The sequence below is a fragment of the Homo sapiens genome, chromosome 1, assembly GCF_000001405.40.
Source record: "Homo sapiens chromosome 1, GRCh38.p14 Primary Assembly".
In the NCBI taxonomy this organism is placed as follows: domain Eukaryota; kingdom Metazoa; phylum Chordata; class Mammalia; order Primates; family Hominidae; genus Homo; species Homo sapiens.
In genome coordinates, this window is record NC_000001.11 from 243360267 (window position 1) to 243387771 (window position 27505).

At 36.1% G+C, this 27505-nt stretch overlaps 1 protein-coding gene and 1 long non-coding RNA gene across 8 annotated transcripts in view; both read left to right on the forward strand.

Annotated features, from left to right (window-relative positions):
• The window catches only part of SDCCAG8 (SHH signaling and ciliogenesis regulator SDCCAG8), a 244051-nt gene that overhangs the window by 104226 nt on the left and 112320 nt on the right, over nt 1-27505 (forward strand). For all 6 annotated transcript variants that reach the window (NM_001350249.2, NM_001350251.2, NM_001350248.2 and 3 more), the window contains one exon: nt 18455-18597. In NM_001350249.2, coding sequence (NP_001337178.1) covers nt 18455-18597 — 143 coding nt within the window. The remainder of the gene's footprint in view (nt 1-18454; nt 18598-27505) is intronic.
• On the forward strand, nt 526-3898 carry LOC124904569 (uncharacterized). 2 transcript variants are annotated; one of them, XR_007066973.1, is made up of 2 exons: nt 526-2069; nt 2127-3898. It is a non-coding gene; the product is annotated as an uncharacterized LOC124904569 (long non-coding RNA). The 2 variants fall into 2 exon arrangements; XR_007066974.1 differs by having other exon boundaries at nt 526-2012.

A 27505-nucleotide genomic window follows, 5' to 3' on the forward strand; every position in this document is an offset into this window, starting at 1 on the left:
TCCCTAGTATCTGGGACTACAGGCACCCGCCACTATGCCTGGCTAATTTTTTTTTATTTGTATTTTTAGTAGAGATGGGGTTTCACCGTGTTAGCCAGGATAGTCTCGATCTCTTGAGCTTGTGATCTGCCCACTTCGGCCTCCCAAAATGCTGGGATTACAGGCGTGAGCCCCCATGCCTGGCCAGCAACAGTCTCTTAACTGGGGCTCCCTGCTTCTCCTCATCTAGCCCCTTCACAGCATAAGGGCCAGAGAAAGTCTGTTAAACTTTCATCAGCCAGGTGAGGTAGCTCACTCCTGTAATCCCAGCACTTTGGGAGGCCGAGGCAGGTGAATCAGGAGGTCAGGAGTTCAAGACCAGCCTGGCTAAAATGGTGAAACCCTGTCTCTACTAAAAATATAAAAATTAGCCAGGCACGGTGGCAGGTGCCTATAGTCCCAGCTACTCGGGAGGCTGAGGCAGGAGAATCGTTTGAACCCGGGTGGTGGAGGTTGCGGTGAGCCGGGATTGCGCCACTGCACTCCAGCCTGGGCAATAGAGTGAGACTCCATCTCAAAACAAAACAAAACAAAACAAAAAAACAAACAAAAAACAACCTATGTCTGATCTTGTCACCCTTCTGAAACCATCCAGTGGTTCCTACCTCAGTAGCAGTCAAAGGCAAAGTCAAACAGTGACCCCCTCATGGCACGCATCTGCTGACCTACAACTGGGCAGTGAATATAGACATTTGCATTTACCTGTCTGGAACTTGGTCATTTTCGTTTGGGCCTGTTGTGTCAGCTTGTCCGAGCTCTCTTGGATCCTCTTTTCAACATATTGCCATAATAAATTATTCCTCTCAGGTTTATGTCACTGGTTAGCAAGGTGCTAACCAGTCTGCCCCCACGACCACTTCAGAGCCTTTGGACTTGCTCTTTTCTTCGCCGGGTTCTCTGGGATATCCTGTGGATCACAAAATAACCCTTCAAGTCATCGCTGAAATCATCTGTGTGAGACTTTCCTGACTACCTTGTTTTATGTTGTAAACCAGTTTCCGAGTACTCCTGCCCCCTTTCTGCTTTATTTTACTCCATATCTTACTCATTTGTTTATTATCATCTTTCCTTATCACAACCTTAGCTTCATAAAGTTATGCCCTCTTTATTCATACTCAACACATTTGCGAAAGCAAAACGTGAATTGCATTGCATTGCATTGCTCTTCCATTTAGCAATTTGGAATGGCTTCCCATTTGCATTTAGAAACATGAGTCCAAACTCCTTTCTACAGTTTATAAGGCCCTGCATAATCTCCCCACTGCCTGTCTTTCCACCCTCTTCTCATCCACCCTTCCCCTGTCCATTCAGTGGAGCCTCCGTGGTTTGCCTTTAGCTTCTCAGACATGCCATGGCCTTTGGACAAACATCTTCCACATATATTCTTTCCCACTCTTCCTTTGCTTAACCAGCTCTTTTTCTTTCTTTTGGTTTCCAATTCAATGTCTCTACTTCACTGGCTACTAATGTATACTCTGTTATTCTCTCACAGCACCTCATTCCCCTCCTTCATGGAGCTTATTATAAGTTTTTTATTATTTTATTGTTCATTTGCTTTTAAACAATCAGTTTCTTCCATTAAAATGTAGGTTGTTTGAGGACAGAGACTTTTACTTGTCTTATTCTCTTTTGTATTCAGTGCCCCAGTGCCCTGATTGCAATTAGGGTCACAGTAACTGGATGGATAGGTGGGTGAAGAGATGGCCAAGTGACTGCCTCAAGTAACACAGTAACTGGATGGATAGGTGGGTGAAGAGATGGCCAAGTGACTGCCTCAAGTAACACAGTAACTGGATGGATAGGTGGGTGAAGAGATGGCCAAGTGACTGCCTCAAGTAACACAGTAACTGGATGGATAGGTGGGTCAAGAGATGGCCAAGTGACTGCCTCAAGTAACACAGTAACTGGATGGATAGGTGGGTCAAGAGATGGCCAGTTGACTGCCTCAAGTAACACAGTAACTGGATGGATAGGTGGGTGAAGAGACGGCCAAGTGACTGCCTCAAGTAACACAGTAACTGGATGGATAGGTGGGTCAAGAGATGGCCAAGTGACTGCCTCAAGTAACACAGTAACTGGATGGATAGGTAGGTGAAGAGATGGCCAAGTGACTGCCTCAAGTAAATTTCTCATTTTACTACCCACTACCCAATGAATCTGAACAAGTTACTGAAAATGTGCAAGCTTCAGTTTTCCTCTTTGTAAAATGAGGATAGATACAATGCCTACCTTATAGGATTTTGTAAAATTTTAGGTCATCTATGTTAACCTCATAGTACAATGCATGACATGTAATAATTGCTCAATACACACTAATAATTACTAGTTTTACTAATACTGTGATCCTTAGCTTTTCCACCTTCATCTCTCTCCCATCTGTGTCCCATTTTATCACATTGCTTTCCAGAGTCGTGATGATTACTGAATATGAGACTGCTAGTTTGAACTGCCCAGTGCATAGCAGTGGAGCTATTGCCTAAGCTTATGTTAATCTAGCATCAGAGCCAACTATCATTTGCCTTATTGTTTATCAAATATGTCTCATTGTAAATTCTTATTGAGCTTAAAATTCAATTAAAACCCCTCATGGCACGCATCTGCTGACCTACAACTGGGTGGTGAATATAGACATTTGCATTTACCTGTCTGGAACTTGGTCATTTTCGTTTGGGCCTGTCGTGTCAGCTTGTCCGAGCTCTCTTGGATCCTCTTTTCAACATATTGCCATAATAAATTCTTCCTCTGAGGTTTGTGTCACAGACACATTTGATCAGCACATCGGTGGCATCCTCATTAAAGTCAGTGGTCTAAATAGTATAGCACAGAGAGCATCACAGAGCCTATGACCTGCAGCTTCCTTGTAATTTGATATTTGCTGTTCTGTCTTCCATGTGATTTGTTCTAATTGATGTTTAAGAACCAGATCATGTTTATTTTTCTGTTTAAGAACCAGACCATTGCCTTCTTCAAAATAATTCTAGTCAAATAAAAAAATTATTTTTATGCCTACTGTGTGTAAGTAGCTTGCCTAGATACCGATGAACCATGTGACAGAAGCTTGCCTTGATGGTGGGCAATGAGGAAATCGGGCATGGATGGCTAAGAAATCAAAGTGCCGTTGTAAATATGGAGCAGATTTGTAGTTTGGCAGGATATAAACCCGTGTTGGGAAACTCCCAATGAGAGGTCAAAATTGAAATGGGGCTGTCTGAAATTCCATTTTGTTCATCTAGATAACCTGGATAAATGGGCTAAATTGGAAATTTGAGTCTTAAAATCATTTTTTTGAGATTTCTCCTATTCATTCTATTGACTTACTCTCCATTTTAAAGTCTTTTGTCCTAATCATTTACCCTATATCTCTCTGTTCTATGCCTATTTTATTTTTCTTTATGAAAATGGGTGAAAGCAGGAATTTTGCTAGTTTTCTAATTATCACAGCATATAAATTCAGTAATGTATGTGAAAGTGTTTTCTAAACTATGAAAAGCTGTATACATACATAGGAATAGAATGGATTGTCAATAAATTGAAGAGATGAGTTTACTCCTTTGTATGTGGAAGCTGTTAATTTAAAATAACACACTCAAAATATTAGCTAAAAATCTACTTCACATTTTGGTGCTGCTTGCTAAAATTAGTTAGAAAATATAGGTTATTTTTGAGTTAAAACCAAGTTCAATAAATTCTTAAGTTCCTCAAATAGAATTTTACAGAAATATTTACATAACCCACAGCTAAAGTGAGTTTTCTAAGAACTCCCCATAAGGTGAGATCACGTACACCATGTCTCAGTACAGAAGGATTTTTTTTTCAATCAGTTATGTCTCTATAAATAAACCTAGTTTTGTTGTTAAAATTGCTGTTTCCTCTTCACATAAGAACATGTCATTAATTTTGGTGAAAACCTTCCAACAAAATAAGGTTAAATTGTCCAGTTTTCCAGTGGAAGAGGAATTATTTTGTGTCACCAACAAGCAGAGTAACAGCTTAAAGGTAAGTTGAACACAGACATGCTGTTTGGGTGGTCAGAATATTTTGCATCCAAGCATAAATGTTAGTAAGAGCCTATAGGTGAGAATGCTTTAGGTATGTTTTTAGTAATGCTTTACCTCTGCTACTCTCCTTAGGATTTGGGAACCAGAGCATTCATACTGATGTTCTCTGTAATTAGGTACACCAAGGAGTAACAGAAACTGGGTAGGTAGGTAGGTAGAGAGAGGTGACCTCAGCCAGAGCCGGTGTGTTTGTATAGGCAAGAAGAGGAGCTGTATTCCATGGTCTGAACTATTAAGTGATCCAGACTACAAGAATATGACTTCCTTTTCTCAGTTGTTTGAAGTTCATTTAGCGAAAAATTAAAATACAGTTTCCTATAAAACAAAATCATTTAGTTTGAACTGGAAAAACATTTGAGGTTTTCTTGGTTTGAGAGAAAATAAACATTTTCTTTTGTCCTAGCACCTATACCAAACAGTAATATTGACAAAAACCAAACCTAAGAAAATGCATTTTTTTTCCTCTAAATTAAGAAATAGTATGTATGGCTTTAAGATGCTGCTTAAAAAAAAAGAATAAGTCTTACATTTGTTCTAGTTGTCAGAGATTGACAGAACTAATAAGAGAATAAAAGAGCAAAACGAAAAAGTTCTTGCTGATTAACAGTTGTCTGAGGAGAAACAGACGATATGTTTTCTTTATTGCATTGAAAAGTTAATTATTACCAATAGAAGCTTATTTATGCTTGTAACTGAGTTAGCGTTGTGGCTTGGCATTATTCCACATTTGAAGGGAAATGGGTATCGGCGAAGAGTCTGGAGCTTGAGTTCTAGTACAGTTGAGTGGGCTTAGCGAGTGGTTTAACTTCACTGGATCCCACGTTCCCACCTGTAAAGTGAGGCGATAGATTAAGATGATGACTGAGGTGTCTTGTGTCCCTAACTGCATGTTTTTTTCCTAAAGGCCTATTTTGTTTTTTATGAAACAAAATATTTTATCTTCACAGGGAAGTTTACTCCCAAATGTTTTTGGGACCATTTAGATAGGAGTACACTTTAGAAAAAAATATAAGCAGCACAGTATTTAAAGAACAGAAATTGTATTTGCTAAGTAAATACTGTACATCGAAGTCTTGGAAGTTAGATACAAAATAAGCCAAAAGTTTCATTTTATATTCCCTTTAGCAATCAGAATATTTGATTATTTTCTAGACAGTTTCTGTAAGAGTACCATTTGGTATAAGAGTTTTAATTTGTGATAGTAGAAAAGTAATAAAAATGTGTACACCATCTAAGAGACAAAATAATTTTGCCAAAAATTGCCTTTTGTTCTGGTTAAGAATAAATGGGCCAATTTCTTTTACACAATAATTTTTAGTAGCAGATACCATATCTAAAAAACTATATTTACTATGGCAATAGTAGCAGACTAATTATCCAGCTTTCTTTGGAAATTGTGACTTTTGTAGTTGTCAATACTTTTATATCTACACTGAAAAATTTTTGGCTTTGAAGAGTATGCCTGCATGTATGTTGATTTTCCTGTAATTTTAGTATCTGGGAAAATATTCCATCTGAAGCATATGTAGAAGTATAGAAAATTGTTGAAATTCCATTTTGAAATGACCTTTAGGCTGCTCTTCATTTAAGGTAATAGTGTCAATTTTGAACAAACTGTTTCAAAAACTTTATTTAATTTAGGATTATGAATGGCATCCTTGTTGGTTTTTAAGTATTTTTAACCTCATGATGAGAATCTGAGAGCATTGTAAATACATTTAATAATGAAAAAGATATTTTCTAAACTTGAAGTCAATAATAAACTTCTTGTATTTAAATTGACTTATGAAGTTTTCTTAAGGCAAAATCAGTTATAACTTTATGAATAGCAATATTTTCAGTTCATTTAAATTTATTTTATTTTTATAGATAGTGAAAGCATCTGTATCTTATTTGAAAGTGCCTGTCATTCTCTTATTTATTAAAATTGCTTTAGTGTGGTTTTTATATTTAGTCTTGGTTTTTACTTGTGTTTAGCCATATTTCTACACATAGGGAATGGTGCAGGAGCTACACCACTGTAATTAGTAGTGGGCAATGTGACCAAGTTTTTTTAATCTTATATTTCAATATAATTTCAATGCAATTACTCTATTGAGTAATTAATAACTTTAATGTTTAGACATAAGTGAATATAATTAGCCCAAAATATAACAACATAATGTGAAAATGATGTTTAGACTTCACTTACTGAGTCCTGAAGCCCTAATATTAATACTTATAATTTCCTGCTGTAAATTTTTATGAAAACTAAATAAGAGTATCATAATAATTTCTGTTATTTACTGTAGCCCAGATGATTGTAAATTTGAGGAGGAAATGATGTACCTTAGATGTGTCATTGGACTTGCACTTGTTTTTTATCAAAATGATAGGGAATCAATTAATATTTTAATAGTTACAAAAGAAAGTGAAGAGTGAAATAGCTTGGATATTATTCATATATAGTGTGTATATGTGTGTGCACATATGTATATGTAGGTATATATACATGTATATAAAATTATCTGGCCATCTGGATCATATATATATGTATAATGTCTGGCACATTGCACATAGCAGGCACATAGTATGTGCTCAAAAATATTTATTGTATTGAATTGAGAGCTTGGGAAGGAATAGTTTAAGGGAATAAATTAACAGTTTGCTTTCCTAAACTGGAATTATTTTATTATATTTTATTTTTGCTTTTGGATGATTTTTCTCAGTTGGCAAAAAAAACTATTGTCAAATGGTAATAAAAGTCAATAACTGTAATGAATATTCCTTTTATTATGCTGTGATATGTTTTCCTGCATTTTGGGTAACTGTTTAAAGATAATTTTTCTTTGGTAATTCTTTTATCTACCAGCTTTTATACTTTTTAGATTTTTCATTTTTATTCGCCATTGGAAAGACTACTTTTTTTATATGGAGATGTCCCACCAGAAAAGATTGTTTTCCTGGTTTTTTGCAGTTCATTTTGAAAGAAGCAACTCCAGGTTTATTTTTGATTTGAATACAGCTAGTGTAGCATGAGAAAATCCTTTTGAAGTGCTTTCAGAAGGATTAGGTCAGGGTTAGGTGTAGTTTTTTTTTTACATAAAGTAAATTTAGAGTTGCTATTTTAAAAAATTGTGCCAATTTGTTAGCAAACACAGGTCAAAGGTACCTTTACACTGGTGACTTTCACCTCAGAAACAGTGGGTGATCTTCACCAGTCACCCTCTTTCTGCTTTTCTGCCAAGGAAGGGATCATGGCTTGGTCTCAGGGAAGAAAGGAAGGAGTCCCAGTTTCTTCCTGGTACTTTTGTTTACTAATGTACTAAGGGCTATTTTATTAAATAGCATTATAAGTCAACTTGAATATATTACATATATTTAATATATGCATTCATGTATAATATTAATATAATATATATGTATATCTTAAAATAGATGTATATATCTAAATATTATATGTAAATATACATGTGTATAAAATTAGTCTTATATATTAACATTTTAAGTGGAAAATGATTTTTTCTTTCATTAAATTGGAATGTCAAGTACATGGCTGACATAATTTCCTTCTAGAAAATAAGAACCTGGCTAGACACAGTGGCTCATGCCTGTAATCCCAACACTTTGGGAGGTCAAGGCAGGAGGATCGCTTGAGCCCAGGAGTTCAAGACCAGCCTGGGCAACATGACAAAACCCCGTCTCTACAAAAAAAATACAGAAATTAGCCTGGCATGGTGACACAGACGTGTAGTCCCAGCTACTTGGGAGACTGAGGCATGAGAATCTCTTGAGCCGGGGAGGTTAAGGCTGAAGTGAACTGTAATCTCACCAGCCTGGGTGACACTAAGACAATGAGACCCTGTCTCAAAAAAAAAAAAAGAAGAAGAAGAGAAAAGAAAAGAAGGGCCAAACTGTTACTTTTTTGAGCCTTTCTTTCTTTAGAAATCATAACATTTGGGTGGTCATAGCATATTAAAGGATTCCTTTTATATGTATACCAAGCAAAGGAATATAGGTCTACATTAGTCTTTTTAGTTATGTTCTCTCCACAAACATTATAAGACCATCATATTTAAATGTCCCAATATAGCATTTTATAGTATGTGCAGTAGAATAGATGCCATAGAATTACCAGCTTTGCAAAACAAGGAACTGCCAAATATCCAAAATGTTTTGAGTTTATTACCTTCGTTAACATAGCTCTTGTGATACAGCTCTGAACAAAACATAGAAACATTCTCTTGGATGATAGTTCATTTAGGTGGGTTTGTAAGTCATTGAGCACCATTCCTGGGATGTCTTTCCTACAGATACAGTAAACATTGTAGTCCTCCAGTAGTCAGATACTAAAAACAGTCAACTCCCAGCTGAGTGAGGGGGAAGAGCGGAATTAGGAAGCCACTTTCAAAATCTGTACAGTGATATCAGACCCTTGATATTTGTAGGGACAAATCTACAATCTTCACAAGTGAAGGCAAAAACAATGAATTTCTCCTAGTAAGTGTAGTAAGGTATAACGGGTCCCTTCAACCTCTGGAATGTTTATAAACTTAGAATAAAAATTATTTGTGAAGCCAGTGAAATAAATCCTACTACTAAGATAAACTCAGTGTATTTCATCCCAGTGGAGTGACATTTCAGGAGGGGGTTATGTTCCAAGTTCAGCCTAAAAGGTTGAATATTGCATGTGACCAAATTACTTTAAAAAAATCTCATAAATTCCTCATAATTTAATGGTCTACATGGATTTGTCTGTATTGATTTTATGTGCATTTAGAGCCATATATTCCTGCCACATTGGAGACATTCATACCCTATCTCAAAGATTTTAACCCCTATCACTTTACTTTCATTGTTGGGATAGATTGCTGTTGAATCAAATGGGGAGTCGATAAACAAGTTGACTTGTGTTTGGCAATGTTTGTGCTTTGTATGAAAAATATACGTGTTTCTTAGATGAAATTACCACATAGTGTTGTCAGATGGTCATACTATGAAAGGTACACATGTACTGTGACCGACCAAGGGCTCAGTGGAGTCATGTCTCACTCTTCATGCTCACTCCAAGGCATTCACTCATTGAGTTGAATGGTGGATGGAGTCACCCATACTTCTTCCATTTATCTCTTTCTGTTACATGTTGCAACTCTACTATATGTTCCTATTGCAGTAACTATGAACCATCTGATTTTATGATGGTAATGTTTGAAGACAAGGATGAAATGTACCACATAGCAGGGTGATAAGAGATTGCATCTCTTGAGAGCCATTTACATCAAACTCAAGAGCAGAAACAGGGGACCTTAAAAGTAAGAAATGAAGGATACAACCTGGGCAAGAGACAGGTGTGCTTCTGAAGTGGTAGGTTTTTAACATTGTGATTGATGGCTGTCTTTTATAGTTCAGCTCTTGATACATTTTCTGGTATTGAACCAATGCAAAACTTATTGTCAGACAATTTTAAAACTCCACACCATTGACAGATGATAACTGGTGTGGTCAACAATTAGGAGATTTATATATTTGACTCCTTCATTATTTTAAGACTTTTCTATTTATTTCAACATTGTCTTTTTTCACTTCATCTCTTTTTACTCACAATTTCGGGTTGTCTTTATCCATTTCAATCTGTAATCTGAATCTACCTCTCCCAGTTACTCTTGGCGATATTCACATTACCCTAACAACTCTTTTGCAATGCATCGTTTGAAAAATGTTTCACCTCTCTTTTATAGCTTTCCAACAATCACATCTTATTTCAGATTTTTCCCTCATCCAGGGCTATCTTAATGTTCCTTTACACCTTTTATGTCTGCTCCTAGCATCAGCAGACATAAAAAGTCAAGATCTCTATCTATGTATGCAAATATGTCAGCATACAATACCTTGAACATTGTTAATATTTTACTCATTTAGAACACTGAAAAAGCATGATAGGATTAGGGGCAGAAAAGGCCCTATATTATTTTAAAGAAAAAAAATTGCAGATTTAATGAATGGCCTGATATTTTGTCTATGATGATTAGAAACTTACATTCATAAGAGTGCAAAGCAATTTTTTTTCCATTTTTAGCAAACATAAAGTCTTTATTAAACCTGTCCCAAAAAAGTAGAGATATCACCTGAACTCATTTTTGTAAACTGACCGCAGAGTTGTAATGATTCTTTTGCCACTGAATCTCCTGGCATGACAGAACAGTGGTGTAAACTTGGCTTAGTCAAAAAGTCTGCCGTATTGTCGCAATGTAATACAGTCAGCTTTATATCAGATGTCTGAAATTCTTCTCTTCTTTAGACACATACTTTTAGAAAGGCACTTCTTTCTTGCCATAGTTCCATTTCATCTGTTTTGAACACTTGTTTTGGCTGAGAGCTACGTTAGCTCTGAGGAAGTGCTTCTGAATTTAAGTGATCAGTTGATGCCACTTCTGTTAACATTATGCAAAGAAAAAAAAAGTTTCTTAAAATTCCTTAAAGAATATTTGCTTAGAGTAAGGATTGATTAAATAGCCACATTGGAAGCAATTGGAAAACTGAAAAGTTCCACAAAAATGTTGCATATTTTATTGGGAAGGCTGAAAGGTTAAGTTGCACGTTGATTCTTAGGCTGGCGTGGAGTTCATCATGTTGTAAAAGGTGTAGACAGTGGGACTTGAGGCTAAGCAAATCCAAACCTCAGGACGTCTTCAAGTCACTAGCCCTAAAGTCTCCTGCAGAAATGCTTCTTCAGAGTGAACCAGGCCCAGGGCTTTGCACATTGAGATCCTTGTGTTTGGTAGCATGATACTTGACCCATGTCATCTGGGTTGTATCTTCTCCTTTGTCTCTGTGCTATTTGTGTCTTCCACCTATGTCACATTATAGGCCAAGAGGTTTTAGAAGGCAGACTGTGTCATTTCCTCTTTATTTTCTCTTGTATCTAGGATTGTTTAGGGAGACAATATGGTGTAGTAGAAAGATTATAGGACTTGAAATCAGACTAACTCCGTTTTGAATCTCAGCTCTGCCACTGTATAATCTTATGTAAGTTACTTAACATCTGTGAGCTTCAGTTTTCTCATCTGTAAAACAGGAATAGGATACTTATTTTTATATGGTTGTCATGAACACAGAATGGAATTTTAAAATATAAAATGCTAAGACAGTGCTTGGTACATGGTAAGCACTCAAAAGTGATAGCTGGTATCAGTGTTACTATTAAGTCCACAGTGAAAGCATGAAGTCAGCGTTATGTGCAATCAACAATGGTAACCGTGAACAGGATTTCTAGAATGGTATCAGCAACCTTCTGCATCTGCTACAGTGAAGAGGATAATCATTTTTGGCTGTTTCTAAAATGAGTTTCTACTTATAATATCCTTTTGTTCACATAGGCTGGTTCCCCAAGTGTCTAGCTTGGAGAATGAGTCTTAGAAATAAATTTTGCTATATTCTAGACCAGTGCTATGCCAAAAAATTTTCTGTGATGATGAAAATATTTTATACCTGCACTTTCCAATATGGTAGCCATGGAATCACCATGTGGATACCAAGCACTTATACTGTGATTAATGCAAGTAAGGAACTAAATTCTTTATTTTAATTAGCTTAAATTTAAATAGCCAAAGCAAGCTAGTGCAGCTCTAGACAAAAATTTACTAATGATTTGACAAAATCAATCTTAACATCTATAAGTTAATAAAAGTATGAACTAGTAAATACTAAATTTCCAATGAGTTCATATTTTACACACACCGAACTTTATAGAAATGATTATTTTCTCCCAAGTGATAGATTATATGTTTCAATTTTCAGTATTATATACTACCTTACTTTTGGAAATATATTCTTTGAATTCATCCATTGGCTTCTGAGTGATAAATTCACATTGTCAAAATTTGTCAGCCTCAAATCCACCAGTTCCTTCTTTTAACTTGCGAGGATTTTTGGATCTAGTCTTCTTACTGTTCTGTAATTTTTCTTCTCCCCATTCTCATCTTCTGTTACACAAACAAGTCACCCTATATTAAAGATGGCGAAATAATTTTTAAGTCACATAATGTTTACTAGCAGGAATAAATCACTACCATTGAGGTATTATAGTTTATGCTTCTTTTTCTTTCCAGGCAAATTTATCCTTTTGAATTAAGATGTTATATAATTTTTCAAATAGGTTTTGCATTCATTTCTTTGGATATTTTTTCTTAGGAAATCAGGAAAAATGTATAGTAGAGTTTCTTTTAATGAAACTTTTTATTTGGTTCTACTTAATTTATGTAAAAAATATATTTTAATTATCTGAAATACAGAATGCTTCTCAAATTGTAGGATTGTGAAATCAATTTTATAGATTGAAGCAAGAAATGTTTTTTTTTAAGAAGTGGAATTGGACAGGCATAGTGGCTAATGCCTATAATCCCAACACTTTGAGAGGCTGAGGTGGGAGGATTGCTTGAACTCAGGAGTTCAAGACCAGCCTGCGCCATATAGCGAGACTTTGTCTCTACTAACAATTAAAAAAAAATTATCTGGGTATGGTGACACATGCCTGTAGTCCCAGCTACTTGGGAACCATATCTATATCTATATCTATATCTATATCTATATCTATATCTATATCTATATCTATCTATATATATATCTTAATATATATATAAGATAAGATAAAATAAAAGTAGAATAAAATAAGATGGAATAGGAAATGTCAGAGCACATCACACATAGTAAGAGTTAATATTATTTCTTGAAATGCTTCTTACATTTATATGTGTGTGTGTCTCTGAATTGTGATTTAAAATGGATTTTTTACTATGGATCTTGGCCAAAAAAATGTTTGAAAGCAACTGCATAATTTATTGTACGATGTGGTGAAGGCAGTGAAGTCAGAAGATCTGGTTCAAGGCTTGAGTGTACTGCTTTAGACAATTTTCAATGTCTTCAACCCAAAATTTCTTATATGTGTAAACAGAGATACCTGCCCTATATGTTTCATGCAGTTGTTTCAAATATCAAATAGAATTCTAAGGTGATGTATAGTTGTAACACTCCTTATTCCTTTCAAGTAATAATTTTATATTGACAAAACTCAGTGGCTTGCACCAACAATCATGTATATTTATATTTATGAGTCTGCAGGTCAGGTACGCTTTGGCTGATCTGTGCTGTATTTGACTGGGTGTTTCTGCTTCAGGTCGTGGGTTGTGCATTGTCTGGGCCATGGTTGGGGTTTGGATCTGATCTCCATGTATTCTTTCTGTGGTCTAAGCCAAAGGGGCAGCGGCTACCCAGTGCATACACTTCTCATGGTTAATCACCAGAACATGAGCTAAACATAAATCTATTTATGATTTTTGCTTACATTATAGCCATGCAAATTCCACTGGCCAAATGAAATTATATGGCTAAGCCCAAAGTCCCTGGGGAGACATAAGGTATTCCACTCTCAGTGGAAGGGAGATGGGAGTGAATATTTGCTGAACAACAGTCTAAATAAACTATCATATTACCCCAAAACTTATTAAACCCACACGTTTATTAACTGCCTCATTCTTAAATATAAAAGGATAGCCAAGTATTATCCTGTATTTGAGGAAAACCTACAACATAATGGAAAGTCCAAATCAGACAAACAAGAAAGGAATGTGGAGGAAACTGAGGCAACATATAATAAGCAAAGGAAAACATTTAAATACTGTATATTCTAATAGGTAAAATATTATATTCATAGATTAAAATTAGCATGCTATGTAAAAAAGTGTCCGTAAAAACAAGAAATAGCTCATAGAAATACAAAATGGGTAGAAAATTTTCTTAACGTTCAAAATGAGGTGTCATCAGTCAAAGAAATCTTCCAGAAGTTACAATCAGAAGACAGAGATGGAAAATATAAGAAAATGAGATAATCAATCCAACAACTAATGTCCTGGAGCTAAAGTGTATGGCATTAAAATATTTTAAAATAGTAGAAGAAAACATCCTCAAACTGAAAAAAATAAGCCTTCAGATTGAAAAGGACTCACTGAAAACTGCGCACAAGGAATGAAAAACAGCTCCATTCCAAGATTCAGCATTGCAAAATTTCAAAATGACAAGGAAAAAGAGATGACTGTAAAAGTTTCCAGAAAGAAAAAAATGTAAATCATAGACCAAGTACTAAGAATCAGGATGGCCTAGGGATTTTCAGTTGTACTATTAGGATCTAGAAGACAGTGGAATAGTTCTTAAAAATCCTGAATGAAAACTAATTTCAAAATAGAGTTTTATACCCAGCCAAACAATCAAGTGTACACATACAATAATAGCATTTTCAGGCAGGCGAATACTCGAAAATGTGTTTTTCGTGTACCTTTTCTTATTAAAGCTACCTGGAGATTGTACTTCGACCAAAAAAGGGAATAAATTGAGAAACATGATGACTTATGACACAGAAAACAGAGAACCCTAAAAGAGCATAGGGAAGGCTTGACAGAAGATAGAGATCAACCAGGCCATACATAAGGTGCCAAGAAGGATATATCCAGTTCTTAAAAGAACATACACTTTATCTAATATGTTCATTTAAAAAAAATTATTGATGATTGTTTAACAGATATGTTTGAATATTTGGGGGAAAATGTCAGTTATCTAGAAAAACAAACTATTAAAAAACTAGACAATTCTAGAAATAATAAAATGATACATAAGAAAATTAATTTAAACAAGATAATGCTTGTCTCAGCAGTGAGCAAATTTTTCATAATCATTATAATGTAAATGAACTACTGACTAATGCTTTAACCAAAATCATTATATGGGAGCATGAGGTGGGTATGTAGGGTGGGTGGTGCGAGACCTAAATTGTCACCCTTCTTCACGTAAGAAAGGTCTAATATTGAAAACTTAAGAAATAGCAGTATAAGTTTGTCTTTTAAAAATGTGAAGATAAACATCAGAAGAACTAATGGTGCATGCCATTGGAGATTAGGTTTGAAATCGGGGAGGTAGACCATGGGCACTGCTGTTCCTTGTTATGAGCCATTTAATACTATGTAACTTAAATTAGGTGCATTACTTTGATGGGCAAATTTAATCAACAATAAAAAGAAAGTTAACATATGCCCATGATTAAGAAAAAAACTTCCTACAGTGTGGAGGGATATAAATGAACAGCATCAAGTCTCCCTTTTCCAAATTCGATCCCCAGTACTGTTTTCTTGCAGTGACCACTTTTAACAGTTTCTACTTTGAGTTGTTCTGGTGGTTATAGTCATGACTTGAAAGATACCTTTTGATAAGGTGTAAAGCTATCTGGACCTGCCTTTGCCCAGTTAGCCAAAAGATGGCCACATCAAACTGCACTGTAGACATGCAGGTTAATAGTGTGCTTTGAGAGTAATGTACAATTGGCCTATGGCTGTTGTTGGTCTTTCATCCCCAAGCTACTATATACAGCCAGGGAAGCAGCCCTGACCTAGTTGGGTGAGGCAAAGGGTTATCCTGCCAGTGGGAGCATGGCATTTCTGGCAAGAGATTTCTCTTCTAACGGTTGGACTTGGTGCCATGGCAGATTTTCCTGACTCAGGGAGTAAGTGTTGAGCCCTGGTCCAGCTGGTTAGATTATTTGTTGATTTTGATTATCTGCACCAATAAGCTCTTTCACTGGCATGGATAATCAGAAGCAGGCAGTAATTTTCCATCTTCCTAACAAAAATGCATTTCACATTTTGAAATTACAATAGATGAAGTTTTATTCAGTTTTCACCAAAATACTGCTTCATTGAGAAGGGGGAACTTTTATGAATTAAATTGAGAACTCTTTAGAGATAGTCATATATTCTTAGGTGGGTCATTTTTTCTTGTCACTTTGCTGTTCTTGAAAGACAGAGGGAAAAATCAGTAATAATGATATTTGCTGTCTTTTAGTCAGATTTTACTATGTGCTAGGCACTCTGCTAAGTATTCCTAGCCTAATTTAATCTTCACAACAGCTTTAGAAGCTTGTTATCACTCCGATTTTAGGAGGAAGAAACTGTATGATAGTCTAATGACTTGTCCAAGGTCACAGAAAAGTGCCAGAGCTGTGTCTGGAGCCCTGATTTGCGTTGGCTGTTAGACCCATGTTCTTTACCTCTGTGTTTGGACTGTTTTGGCAACGCAACCCTTGACTTTTTATTACATGAGGAAAAGAAAGCAGCTAATTTGTACTTAAAACCTAATTACCAGTGTAAGGTACATATGTTGTTATTGTTGCATAGTGCTTACAAAAATTGTATCTTTTCTTTTTAAAAAAGTTTTGAATTTTATACATTTTCTATTCTGTCATTCTTTTGTCTTCTCTCAATTCAAAATTCCGGAGTAATCTTTGGTCTTCTGATTCCTCTCCTTTTATTTCCATAAAATCACCATTTTCTCTTTATATTTCTGTTTTAAGTCCCTCCACTCCTCATGTCTGGAATACTGCAATTATCTTTTCATGGTCTCCCTTCCGCCATTCTTTGCCACCTTAAACTGATTGTACACATTGATCCAGTTTTCTCAAGCTCAACCTCTGTCATATTGCATACCTGTTTAAACCATTAATGTCACCCTATTATCTATAAGAAAAATGTAGCGTTATTAATCTACAATTAAAGAGCTTTCATAATGTGATCTAAAGTATCACTCCGGAGCTTTTGTGCCCTTACTTCTTTCTCACTTTTCTTGCTCATGCTAATATATCCCTCATCTGGCTACTGAGGCATGAATTTTCTCTATAACTCAGTTGGTGTTTTTATATGCTTTGCATTTTGATAGTCTTCTTGTGTATCTATGTCTCATTTACCCAGATGAATTATTAACTACTGAGTTTAGAGATGGGAACTCTGAATTCATCATATTATTTAGTATAGTTTCTTACATATAGGACTGTGTAAGAAAATTAATGAATAAATTTTTGAAGTTTTAAAGTTAACCTATAATTCCAATTCTGTATTTCTTTGCTTTTGTTAATTTTATAAATGTTAAACAATACAAATTTAATAGTCTTTATTATTTTTATCTCTTTAATTATATTTAATTATGAAATTGGAAATATATGGGTATAACTTTAATAACACAGTATTTTAAAGAAATAAGTCAGTTTAACTTAGTATTCCAATTTGAAAGATACAGAAAATCTACAGTGAATGAAAATGATACAATTATTTCACAGTTTTTCAAATAAGCCAATATTTGAGAACTGTACTAAGTTATTATATTGTTGGTTAATGTATGGTTTTGATGGAGATAAACTGAATATTTATACTGTTATGAATTCAAGAAAAAATGTAAATGAATTATTTAATTTATCTTCCATGATGTATCAAATGTAGTTGGAGATTGTTCAGAATATTGAATAAGGACATGAGGAAATTTGGAAGTTTATTTAAATACTAAATTTAAATCCCTCTACTTACACATGATTTTGTTTTCCAAAAGGAGGTTGCAATTTTTTCTGTATCAAATTTGCTTCTTGCTTTCTGCTGAATTTGAAAATGTTTCTGCCCTTTCTTTTTTTTTTTCTTGTTTTAATAGCCTAAATATTTTTAAAGGTTCATCTTTTATTTTCTTTGGCTTAATTTTACAGATGTTCTATTGATAAATAAATATTTCTACTTTAATATATAAATTATTTAAAATTATGGCCTATATAAGATATTTTTGCTTTGAAATATTTGAGTTTCAGTAAGATAAGGATAATTTCATCCCGAAACCAAAAAATAAACCTTCATAAATTTTATATATTCATATTTGTCTTAGAGTGTTCTTGTTGACTTTTTAAATTGCAAATTTAAATGGAAATATTATTTTAGCTCAGAAATCTCATACACTCTCAATGCTTAAATTTCTCATGCTTTTTTTTTTCCTGGATTATTTTTTCCAAGTAATATTGAACATCATAATCATGCCATTTTTTACACCTCACATTTTTCGAAAATCTCTCTTATTTATTTTACCTTTAATTTGGGTTTTGAAACACCCAAATGAAGCCATAAATTTATCTTTTAGAATAAAAAGTACATACTTGATGTAAATCACTGCATGTGTCTGATTGAATCTCACACAAAAATGTTACTTTTTAAAGGCAGTGGTATTTTAAGTAAATATTACTTTTTAAAGGGAACGACTCTTAGAATGAAAGTGCAATTATCCACTTTGACTACTCTCATTTAATCATTTCATTTTTAAAATTAGATTTCATTTTACAATCCAAAATAAAACCTCATTCATGTGCATTTTTGGATGTGCTAATTCCTTTTGTCATAAAATGGAAGCTAGCCTAAATTTTCTAATAATTTTTTATCAAATTGAAATTCATGGCAAAAAATAAAAATGAGCTAATTTTGAATTCAAGTGCATGTATTTTATATGGATGCTTTTTCCCCTTCTCTCTACCTAAGGAAATAGAGAAATTGAGAATAGAACTGGATGAAAGCAAACAACACTTGGAACAGGAGCAGCAGAAGGCAGCCCTGGCCAGAGAGGAGTGCCTGAGACTAACAGAACTGCTGGGCGAATCTGAGCACCAACTGCACCTCACCAGGTACTCCCTAATCCCATTATGCGCCATAGCACCGATTTCATTCCACTGATTTTTGCCACAGGCTTCCAAACAGTTGTTAGAGTTAGTCTTAGTCATTCAATTCACACTTAGCTTTCAGGCATATTAAGAAAAGTGGAGATGTGGTAAGCAAAACACCCAGACATGTGAATGATAAGTGTGGCAGGGAATTACTGATAGATTACAAAACCTTTCATCTACAATGCTCAAATATTTAGGTGATTCTCTATCAATATAAGCGAAATGACATATTTCTCCTACCACCACTACTACCTCTTCTGCTAATTCTACGTCTAATAAAAATCTTGAACTGAAGGATGTGAGGAATTCATTTAGGAAAATAATAAAATACTGTCAGTGGTGAGAGAGACAAAGTAAATAAATTGTAAGATGCAAATTGAAATGGAACTGATACAAAATAAGGAATCTGCATCCTAAGGAGGTGTAAAATTTTGAGATGAAATAGATTGGCACTGCTCATGTTCAAATCATTATTATAACCAGGCTTACACCATTGAGGTTTCAAATTACTTCATTTCCATCATGAGATTTTGTGATGTGATCATCATTGTCATCAACTTTAGTAAATATGTAGCTCGGCCCTAAATTACAGTAAGACTCTTTAGGTTGTAAGCATTGTGAATTTGCTGCATTGGAAAAAAACATACACACACATACACACACACATAAATACACACATGGAAAGAAAAATTCAAAAGAGAAAGTAGATATTTCACTTTATCATATGTGGTTTCTTTTCACTTTGAGTTTTATTACGATTTTGCAGTGTTCACATCAAGCCTTTGGGGTTGCTCAGTTCTTAAAGTTTTTCAGTTTTTAGAGAGAACTTTGTTTAAATAAACATGTAAGTTCATGATATTTGGTTTGGTTTATAAATTAGAAAAACATTGGTCTTCCAATCATAGTAATATGTTGAATTTAAACTATGAAAGGGGACTGATCCCTTTTACATTAAATATGACAATGTAATTCTGAGCACGGTATGCTAACAGATGGAGAAAAGCACCACTTGAACAGCCTGCGTTTGGAGAAAAAAATATTCTAGAGGTTGGTGAACCTCCCAAAGTTTTGGGTGAGTGTTAAGATGCCTCTGGTTCTGTTAAAATCAAACCTTGTATAAAACATTTTGTTATGATAATATTCCAAATGATTTGACATCTTCCCTTTTAAACAATAAAAGAAAGAGGAAAGAAAGAGAAAGCAAAGAAAGAAAATAAATTATTAATACATGTCTGGTATCTAGAAAAAAATCCTAATAGATGAAACACATATATGAGAAAAAAATTGCTTAATATTGCAGAATAATAACTGTTCTTTTAATGCTCATTTAAACTATTGTCATTGTAGAACTGAGAACATAACGTTAGCATAATTCCTGTGGCTATTTAATCTTAGAAGTTTCAGAATTTAGCTTCATCATGGTAATGTTAATAGTTTTTCTTTTCTGTCAGACTTCTATTCAGAACCAACCATTTGTGTGCTAAGCACTGCTAAACCTCAGAAATAGGACAGCTTTTAATGTCTCAGTGTGGCTGAGCTTCAGTAAATAAATATTAATGCTGGTTTTGCCCCTTTTGCCATTCTGTCTTATTCAGAGAGTTAATTTCTGAAGTCAAAGTCCGTAGAGAGTTTTCCCGTATAGTATCAATTTATAGTGTTTGACAAGATCAATTTCTTGCAAGTAGAGCATATTAAGATGCAGCAACTGCTGAAAATGGACGAGTGGTAACTAATTCCTTTGTTCTTAAGAAAAACGGTTTTGCTTGGTTCCATAGAAAGCTTTTTTTTTTTGTTGAGCTTTATTTAAACCAATTCTACTAAAATTTAAACGTAGTTTTACAGGAAATAAAAATTATTTTCTAAGTGCGGTACTCTTTTGTAAGCATTTTATGCTTAGTCTATATTCATGTTTTATAAAATCCACATTCATAAATTTAAAGATGACAATTAGAAATGCAAGGAACTGTGTATATCTCCCCTTTGCACTGACAATGTGATTTGGTTGTTGGGCTATTTCTGATATATAGTACTTTTTTGTTTTTTTGGTTTTTTTTTGAAGTTTGCCACCCCTCACCATACTTTATTGATTCAGTATACTCAGGTGTGTGACTGAGAAATGTTGTGTCGTTCTTTTTCAGTGTAGATCAGCTGAAATACATAACTCCCACGCAGATAACACCTTACCACACAGTCTCAACTTAAACACTTCAAATGGCATATTCTAAACAAAGTTTAAAATTGAATATGAAAACCGTGTTTAAAGTAATGATGAAATAAGGATCCAAATCTTTAGAGGCAAAGAAAATTTAAAAACTGTAGTAGAGATCTGTACATCAACCTAAAAGAAAAATAGCCTACCACTTTTTTGGTGTTTCTCCTTATGGGATTTTAAAACGGTAAATAGAGGCCAGGCGCAGTGCTCACACCTGTCATTCCAACACTGTGGGAGGCCAAGACAGGGGAATCACTTGAGGCTAAGAGTTCGTGATCATCCTGAGCAACACAATGAGACCCCATCTCTACAAAAAAACAAAAAATATTAGTCAGGCATGGTGGTGCACCTATAGACCCAGCTATTTAGGAGGCTGAGGATGGAGGATCACTTGAACTCTGAGGTTCAAGCCTGCTGTGAGCTGTGATTGCGCCGCTACACTCCAACTTGGGTGACAGAGTAAGACCCTGTCTCTAAAAAAAAAAAATGGAAAATAGAAATTTAGCATTAATTAAAGGACCCAAATGGGTGAGTGTAACATTCACTTAGTCAACAAATATTTACTGAGCACCTACTATGTTTTAAGTACTTTGCTTGGTCCTAGGCATAGAGAGAAAAAATAAAACTCAGTTTCTACCCTTAGATTGCGCATACTCTAGTAAAGAAGCTACATCTGTATATGCAAATGTAATAGACTGTGACAACAGTGCAATGATAAAAGTGATGATTACCACAGGAGCACATAGGGAGGGGGATTGGCCCATTCTACACCATAGGTGAAGGCGATAGTCAAAGAAAGCTGATATCAGGGAAAGCTGACAGTGAAAAGGGATAGTCAGGGAGGTGGAGATATTTGGCAGCAATCTTGATTAGTGAGTTCATGAGTAAGAATTCTGAAAGTGGAAGAAAGTGGGTTGGGTACCCCAGGTAGAGAGACCAATATATACAGAGACATAAAGATGGGAGAAAACAGAAACTCTACTATCAGATTAGGTGTTTGGTAGGAGATAAGACTGGAAAGGGGAGCAGGGACCAGCAGAAGAGCCTTATGGGCCATCTCCGGAGTTTCGCCCATTCTGAGTTACTCTTAATGCATTTTAGGCAGGAGCGTCAACATGATTGACTTTCTGGGTTGGGAGCTGGACTCAGAGAGCAGTGTGGAAAGTGAGCTTTGAGAGTTGATCTAGGAGACAGGAAGACCAGTTAGCCCAAGGTCAGCAATTGCAACCCATGGGTCAAGTCTGACCCATCATCTGTTTTTGTGTGACCATTAACTAAGAATGGTTTTTATATTTTTAAGTGGATGAAAAAAAGGGGAAACAATATTTTTTGACACATAAAGATTATACATCTATAAATAAAGTTTGATTGGAAAATGCTACCATTATCCTTCATTTATTATGTATGGCACTACCACACTTGAGTTGAATATGGTCCTCAAAGCCTAAAATATCTACTATCTGTCCCTTTACAGAAAAGTGTACCAACTCCTCAGGAGGCTGTTTAGTTCAAGTAAGAAGTCAAGAGGGCTTGAATAATGACAGATTCAAATATGTATTTAAAGAAGGTAATTGAAGAGCTTTGTGAAAAATGGATGGGTTGAGAAGAGATGACTGGCAGGGACCCCAGTTAGAATATAAGCACCATAGTCCAGGGGGAGAGTAATGAAGCCCTTGGCTGTGGCTGTCCCGTGAAGTGGAAAGGAAGTAGTATCTTCAGAAGGTATTTGGAGTCATGAATAAGAGAGGACACAATTAAAGGTGACTGTAAGTTTTCTAGCCCAAATTGACTAGAGGATCTGTTAAGCCAACTGAGGAACTTAAAAGAGGTAGCAGAGGAAAAGAATACTTTTCATTGTGCAACCCCAGTGGAGATGTCCAATGTTGGCTTGGTGTGAGGAGAAGGTCATGACTAGAGGCTTAGATCTGGATCCCTTTTACATAAAGGTATTCATTGTAGCTAAGGGAGTGGTTAAAAGCACATAGAAAGGATCATGTTTTAAAGAACAATGGAAGAACAGCCACCAGCCGATAAGACTGAAATGGGGTCTTCGAATATATAAGAAAAGAATAAAGAAGAATGATTCGAAGAGTATTTTCAGGGGGCAGTAACAATTAAAACCATATACTTTTCTTAGGGGAGGTCCCCAGACAGCCTAGGATTGAAGAAACCTGAATTATAGTATCTTCTGTAGGCATTCACTCCAGGCATTCTTTGCAACTTTTGACAAATTACTTAACTCTTTGGGCCTGCTTATGTACCTATAAAATGAGGTGAGGCTAGATGATTTATAAGTTTCCTTCCAGTTCTGATAATCAATGATTCTAATAATGATTTAAGACAACCCATTATTAAGTTCCTATATCTGGACATTAGGCATTTAAATTGCTTGGATGATCTTTTGTTTAAGGTATTTCCTTAGTTTGAACTTCAGAAAGTTCATTGAAATGACCTTCAGACCCACCACTTAAATTCATTGTAACTTAGGTTCTGCTGACCTCTCACAAAGGTTATCAAAATTGTCTCAACACCCTTCCAGTCTCTTTTGCTGACCATTGCCCGGTGAATATTCATAAGCCTCTGCCTTGACTCTGTTGCTATACTCTGAAAACCTTCCATGGTGCCACTCTATTAGAGAAAGGCAAATGACAACATGGCATGTGAGGTCATCCTGATAGGCTCTCAACCTTCCAGTCTTATTTCATCTAAGATGAAACCCTCTTACCTGCTGATTTCCAGACAAATGTCAGTACACATAGCTCCCCTTTTTCCCTCCATTTGCTGTTCTCTATACCTAGAATACCCCTCTGACCTTCTCTAGCTCTATTATAATCTTACCTTCTTACCAAGGTCTCCCTGAAATCCTGATTTTTCTACCTAGGCCTCCCCATTGATTCTTGTCAGAAAGGAGCGCTTCTCCCCTTGAATCCTTCTTCCCACTTTGAGCTGATGGCATTTGAGTAAATGAATTACTCAAAGGAGGAAAAAGCAAAATGTGGAAAAAAAAAGAATTAATATTTGGAAGTTTTTTGTGTACTTGCTATTTTTTGCTTCTGGAATGTGTTATTCTTCAAGTAGGAGGAGAGGTCTTATCAGTATTATATTTCTCAGAGCCCCTGGCTCATCACTTTGCAGAGTTGGAGCTCAGTAAGTCATTAATGAAAATGGTGACTGTATTCCAAATGTATGACTATTCTTTCAAGCTCAGTACTGCTATACAAATAAATATCTTCTCACAAATATCAGAGTACAAAGTATAAGAAGGTGATAAGGCTAAAATTTTTTATTGAGAATTTTACTTGTCTCTATGATACTATATTATGATTTTGTAATAATCACTTTTTTAAATTTTTAACTTTGTGTAAATATATATGTTTAAGTATATCAGAATCAAATGATAATCATTCTAACAAACAATGCAAGTAGGTTTAGTAAAGTGCACCAGGCCTCTCACTTACATGTACGTGTTTAAAAACCACACACACACACACACACACACACTCACTCTTAAACTAGAGTTCCGCATAATTAAAAGATGACAGTGGAAGCCATGTACTGTGGTGCACACCTGCAGTCCCAGAAACTTGGGAGGCTGAGGTAGGAGGGTCGCTTGAGCCCAGGAGTTCAAGGCCATCCTGGGTAACATAGCATGACCGCATCTCTGGGGGAAAAAAAAATGACAGTATTTGAAACAAGTGCCTCGTAAGCATGTTCACTAAACACGTCTAGCCTAGCATGTATGAAAACAAAGCAAGGCTGCTTTCTTCCAGTTATTACTGTTAATATTATTCAAACAACTTCTTCTTTTTCCATAACAGACTTTCAGGTACATTTAAAAATGTTCATCCATTTATTCACCCGTTCTACATGGAGCATTTTCTGTCATAAGACGCTGTGCTAGGGATGAAGGGAGATAGAAAGATAAAGAGGCCTCAGCTGCTGCCCTTCAGAAGCTTACAGGCTAGCGGGGAAGAGAAGAAAATACATGAGTAGATCGGGTGTGGTGGCTCACACCTGTAATCCCAGGACTTTGGGAGGCTGAGGCGGGCAGGTCACTTGAGCCCCAGGAGTTTGAGACCAGCCTGGGCAACGTGGCGAAACCCCATCTCCACAAAAAATACAAACATTAGCTGGGCATGGTGGTGCGCGCCTATAGTCCCAGCTGCTCTGGAGGCTGAGGTGGGAGGATGGCTTGAGCCCAGGAGGTCAAGGCTGCAGTGAGCTGTGATGGCACTGCTGCACTCCAGCCTGGGCAACAGAGCAAGACCTTGTCTCTAAAATTAAAGAAAAAAGTAAGAAAAAGAACATACACATGTAGTCGGTAAGATAAATGATAAGATCCAGAAGGGAGGTTCTAGAAAAGGATTACAGGGGGAGAGACAGATTACTTCTTACTGATTTTGGTAGGATTTGGATATAGGAAAATGGGAATGAAGGGCATTCCGTGTAGGGGAATCGATGGTATTTGGGAGGTGTGCATGTATGTATAAGAGTAAGTTAAATACAGTACACACAGCGATCAAACAGACACCTAACAAGTATCACCTCGGAGGTTAAGAATATATTCATCTTAGGCCGGGCACGGTGGCTCATGCCTGTAATCCCAGCACTTTGGGAGGCCGAGGCGGGCGGATCACCTGAGGTCAGGAGTTCGAGACCAGCCTGACCAACATGGAGAAACCCCATCTGTACTAAAAATACAAAATTAGCCAGGCATGGTGTTGCAAGCCTGTAATCCCAGCTACTCGGGAGGCCGAGGCTCAAGAATCACTTGAGCCCGGGAGGCAGAGGTTGCAGTGAGCTGAGTTTGCACCATTGTACTCCAGACTGGGCAACAAGAGTGAAGCTCCATCTCAAAAACACCACCACCAACAACAATATATTCGTCTTAGTATCTGCGTGGTACCACGCTACATGTAGCAGCTCTTTAAAAAATAATAGAGTTATAGCTAACAGCAGTGGCTAACATTTGCTGAGCCCCTGCTGTTCCAGGAACCAAGCTGAGAGCTTCTCATATAATCCTACCAATAGCTCTATAAGGTACAGACTCCTATTTTCTGTAATTTACAGCTGAGGCAACTAAGGCACAGAGAAGGAAAGGAGTCTTCTAAGGTTACACAGCTGATATGTTATCGAAGCAGGTTTTGAACCCCAGTAAGTTGCCTGCAAAGCTTGTACCCTTATCCATTAAGCTGTAATTCTATGTAAATTACTAGAGAAATGGATTAATGCAGTTGTTCTGAAAAAGACAACTTAGAAAATCAGTAACATGAATTTATAATAGAAATAAATGTTAGCTTCTTCCGGCCGGGCGCGGTGGCTCACGCCTGTAATCCTAGCACTTTGGGAGGCTAAGGCAGGCAGATCGCGAGAGGTCAGGAGTAATCCCAGCACTTTGGGAGGCCGAGACAGGCGGATCACGAGGTCAGGAGATCAAGACCATCCTGGCTAACATGGTAAAAACCCGTCTCCAGTAAAAATACAAAAAATTAGCTGGGCATGATGGCACACGTCCGTAGTCCCAGCTACTCAGGAGGCTGAGGCAGGAGAATCTCTTGAACCCGGGAAGTGGAGGTTACAGTGAGCCGAGATTGCGCCACTGCACTCCAGCCTGGGTGACAGAGCGAGACTCCATCTCAAAAAAGAAAGAAAGTGAGAGAGAGAGAGAGAGAGAGAAAGAAAGAAAGGAAAGAAGTGTTAGCTGCTCCCTTATGCATGACACGTGACGGTGAATTTTGGCTTGAATTTTTCCTAAGAAACATAGTTTCCCTTGGCCCATTATTTGCCATTGTCATTTAAACATATTATAATGCCATTGTCATTCTACTTTACTCCCTTACTTAATTTTCACCCAAGAAGAAAGAGAGGCTTTTATTAAAAAGTAGAAATTTTTCAAGTATTTATTTTTGACATGTCCAAATATCTGTAAAGAGCTATAGGTATCACCTCGGAGGTTAAGAATGTATTCATCTTAGGCCAGGGGCGGTGGCTTATGCCGCTCATATGACTACCATTTATACACACGTGGTTGGGTTAATTTACGATATGGCTGAATAAAGCAACCACTTCTTACCGTTTATGTGATTCTTATTAACTGCTTACTGAGACATTCTTTTCCATACCTTTTGCCCATGTACTGAAACACATTTTTTTAAATCCTGCATTTTTTTTTTCTTGTATCTGATCTTGAGGGGAACTACTGCAGGAAGCTTTCTTTTGTTTATTATCCAGAGAATTTAGAACTCGGATTGCCCTAAGTACAAAACCTTAAAAATTCTTATTTCTCCTTTTACATAAATGATCTTTTTAATAATATGTATGTACTTCAAAGAATTTCTCAGAGCAGGAATCTAAGTGAGAGTCCACCAAACAGGTATTATACTGTGACCTACTTTTGTGATCCAGATGGGAAGATCTGACCTGTGACCTAGAGAGACAGCAACTTGACCTATAGGATTTGTGTCTTTTTGAAAGTGAGAAAAGGGTACAGCAGAGGAGTCACTAGGTTAACCTGTTATGATGGATAGATCATGTGGGGAGAGTGATAGAGGCTGCCTTTCCAGGGCTTTCAGTTTCCACATAGTAACTAGTACAGTTACTTATTTGTTTCTTTAATTTGAAGCAAGAGTCTTGCTCTGTTGCCCAGCCTGCAGTGCA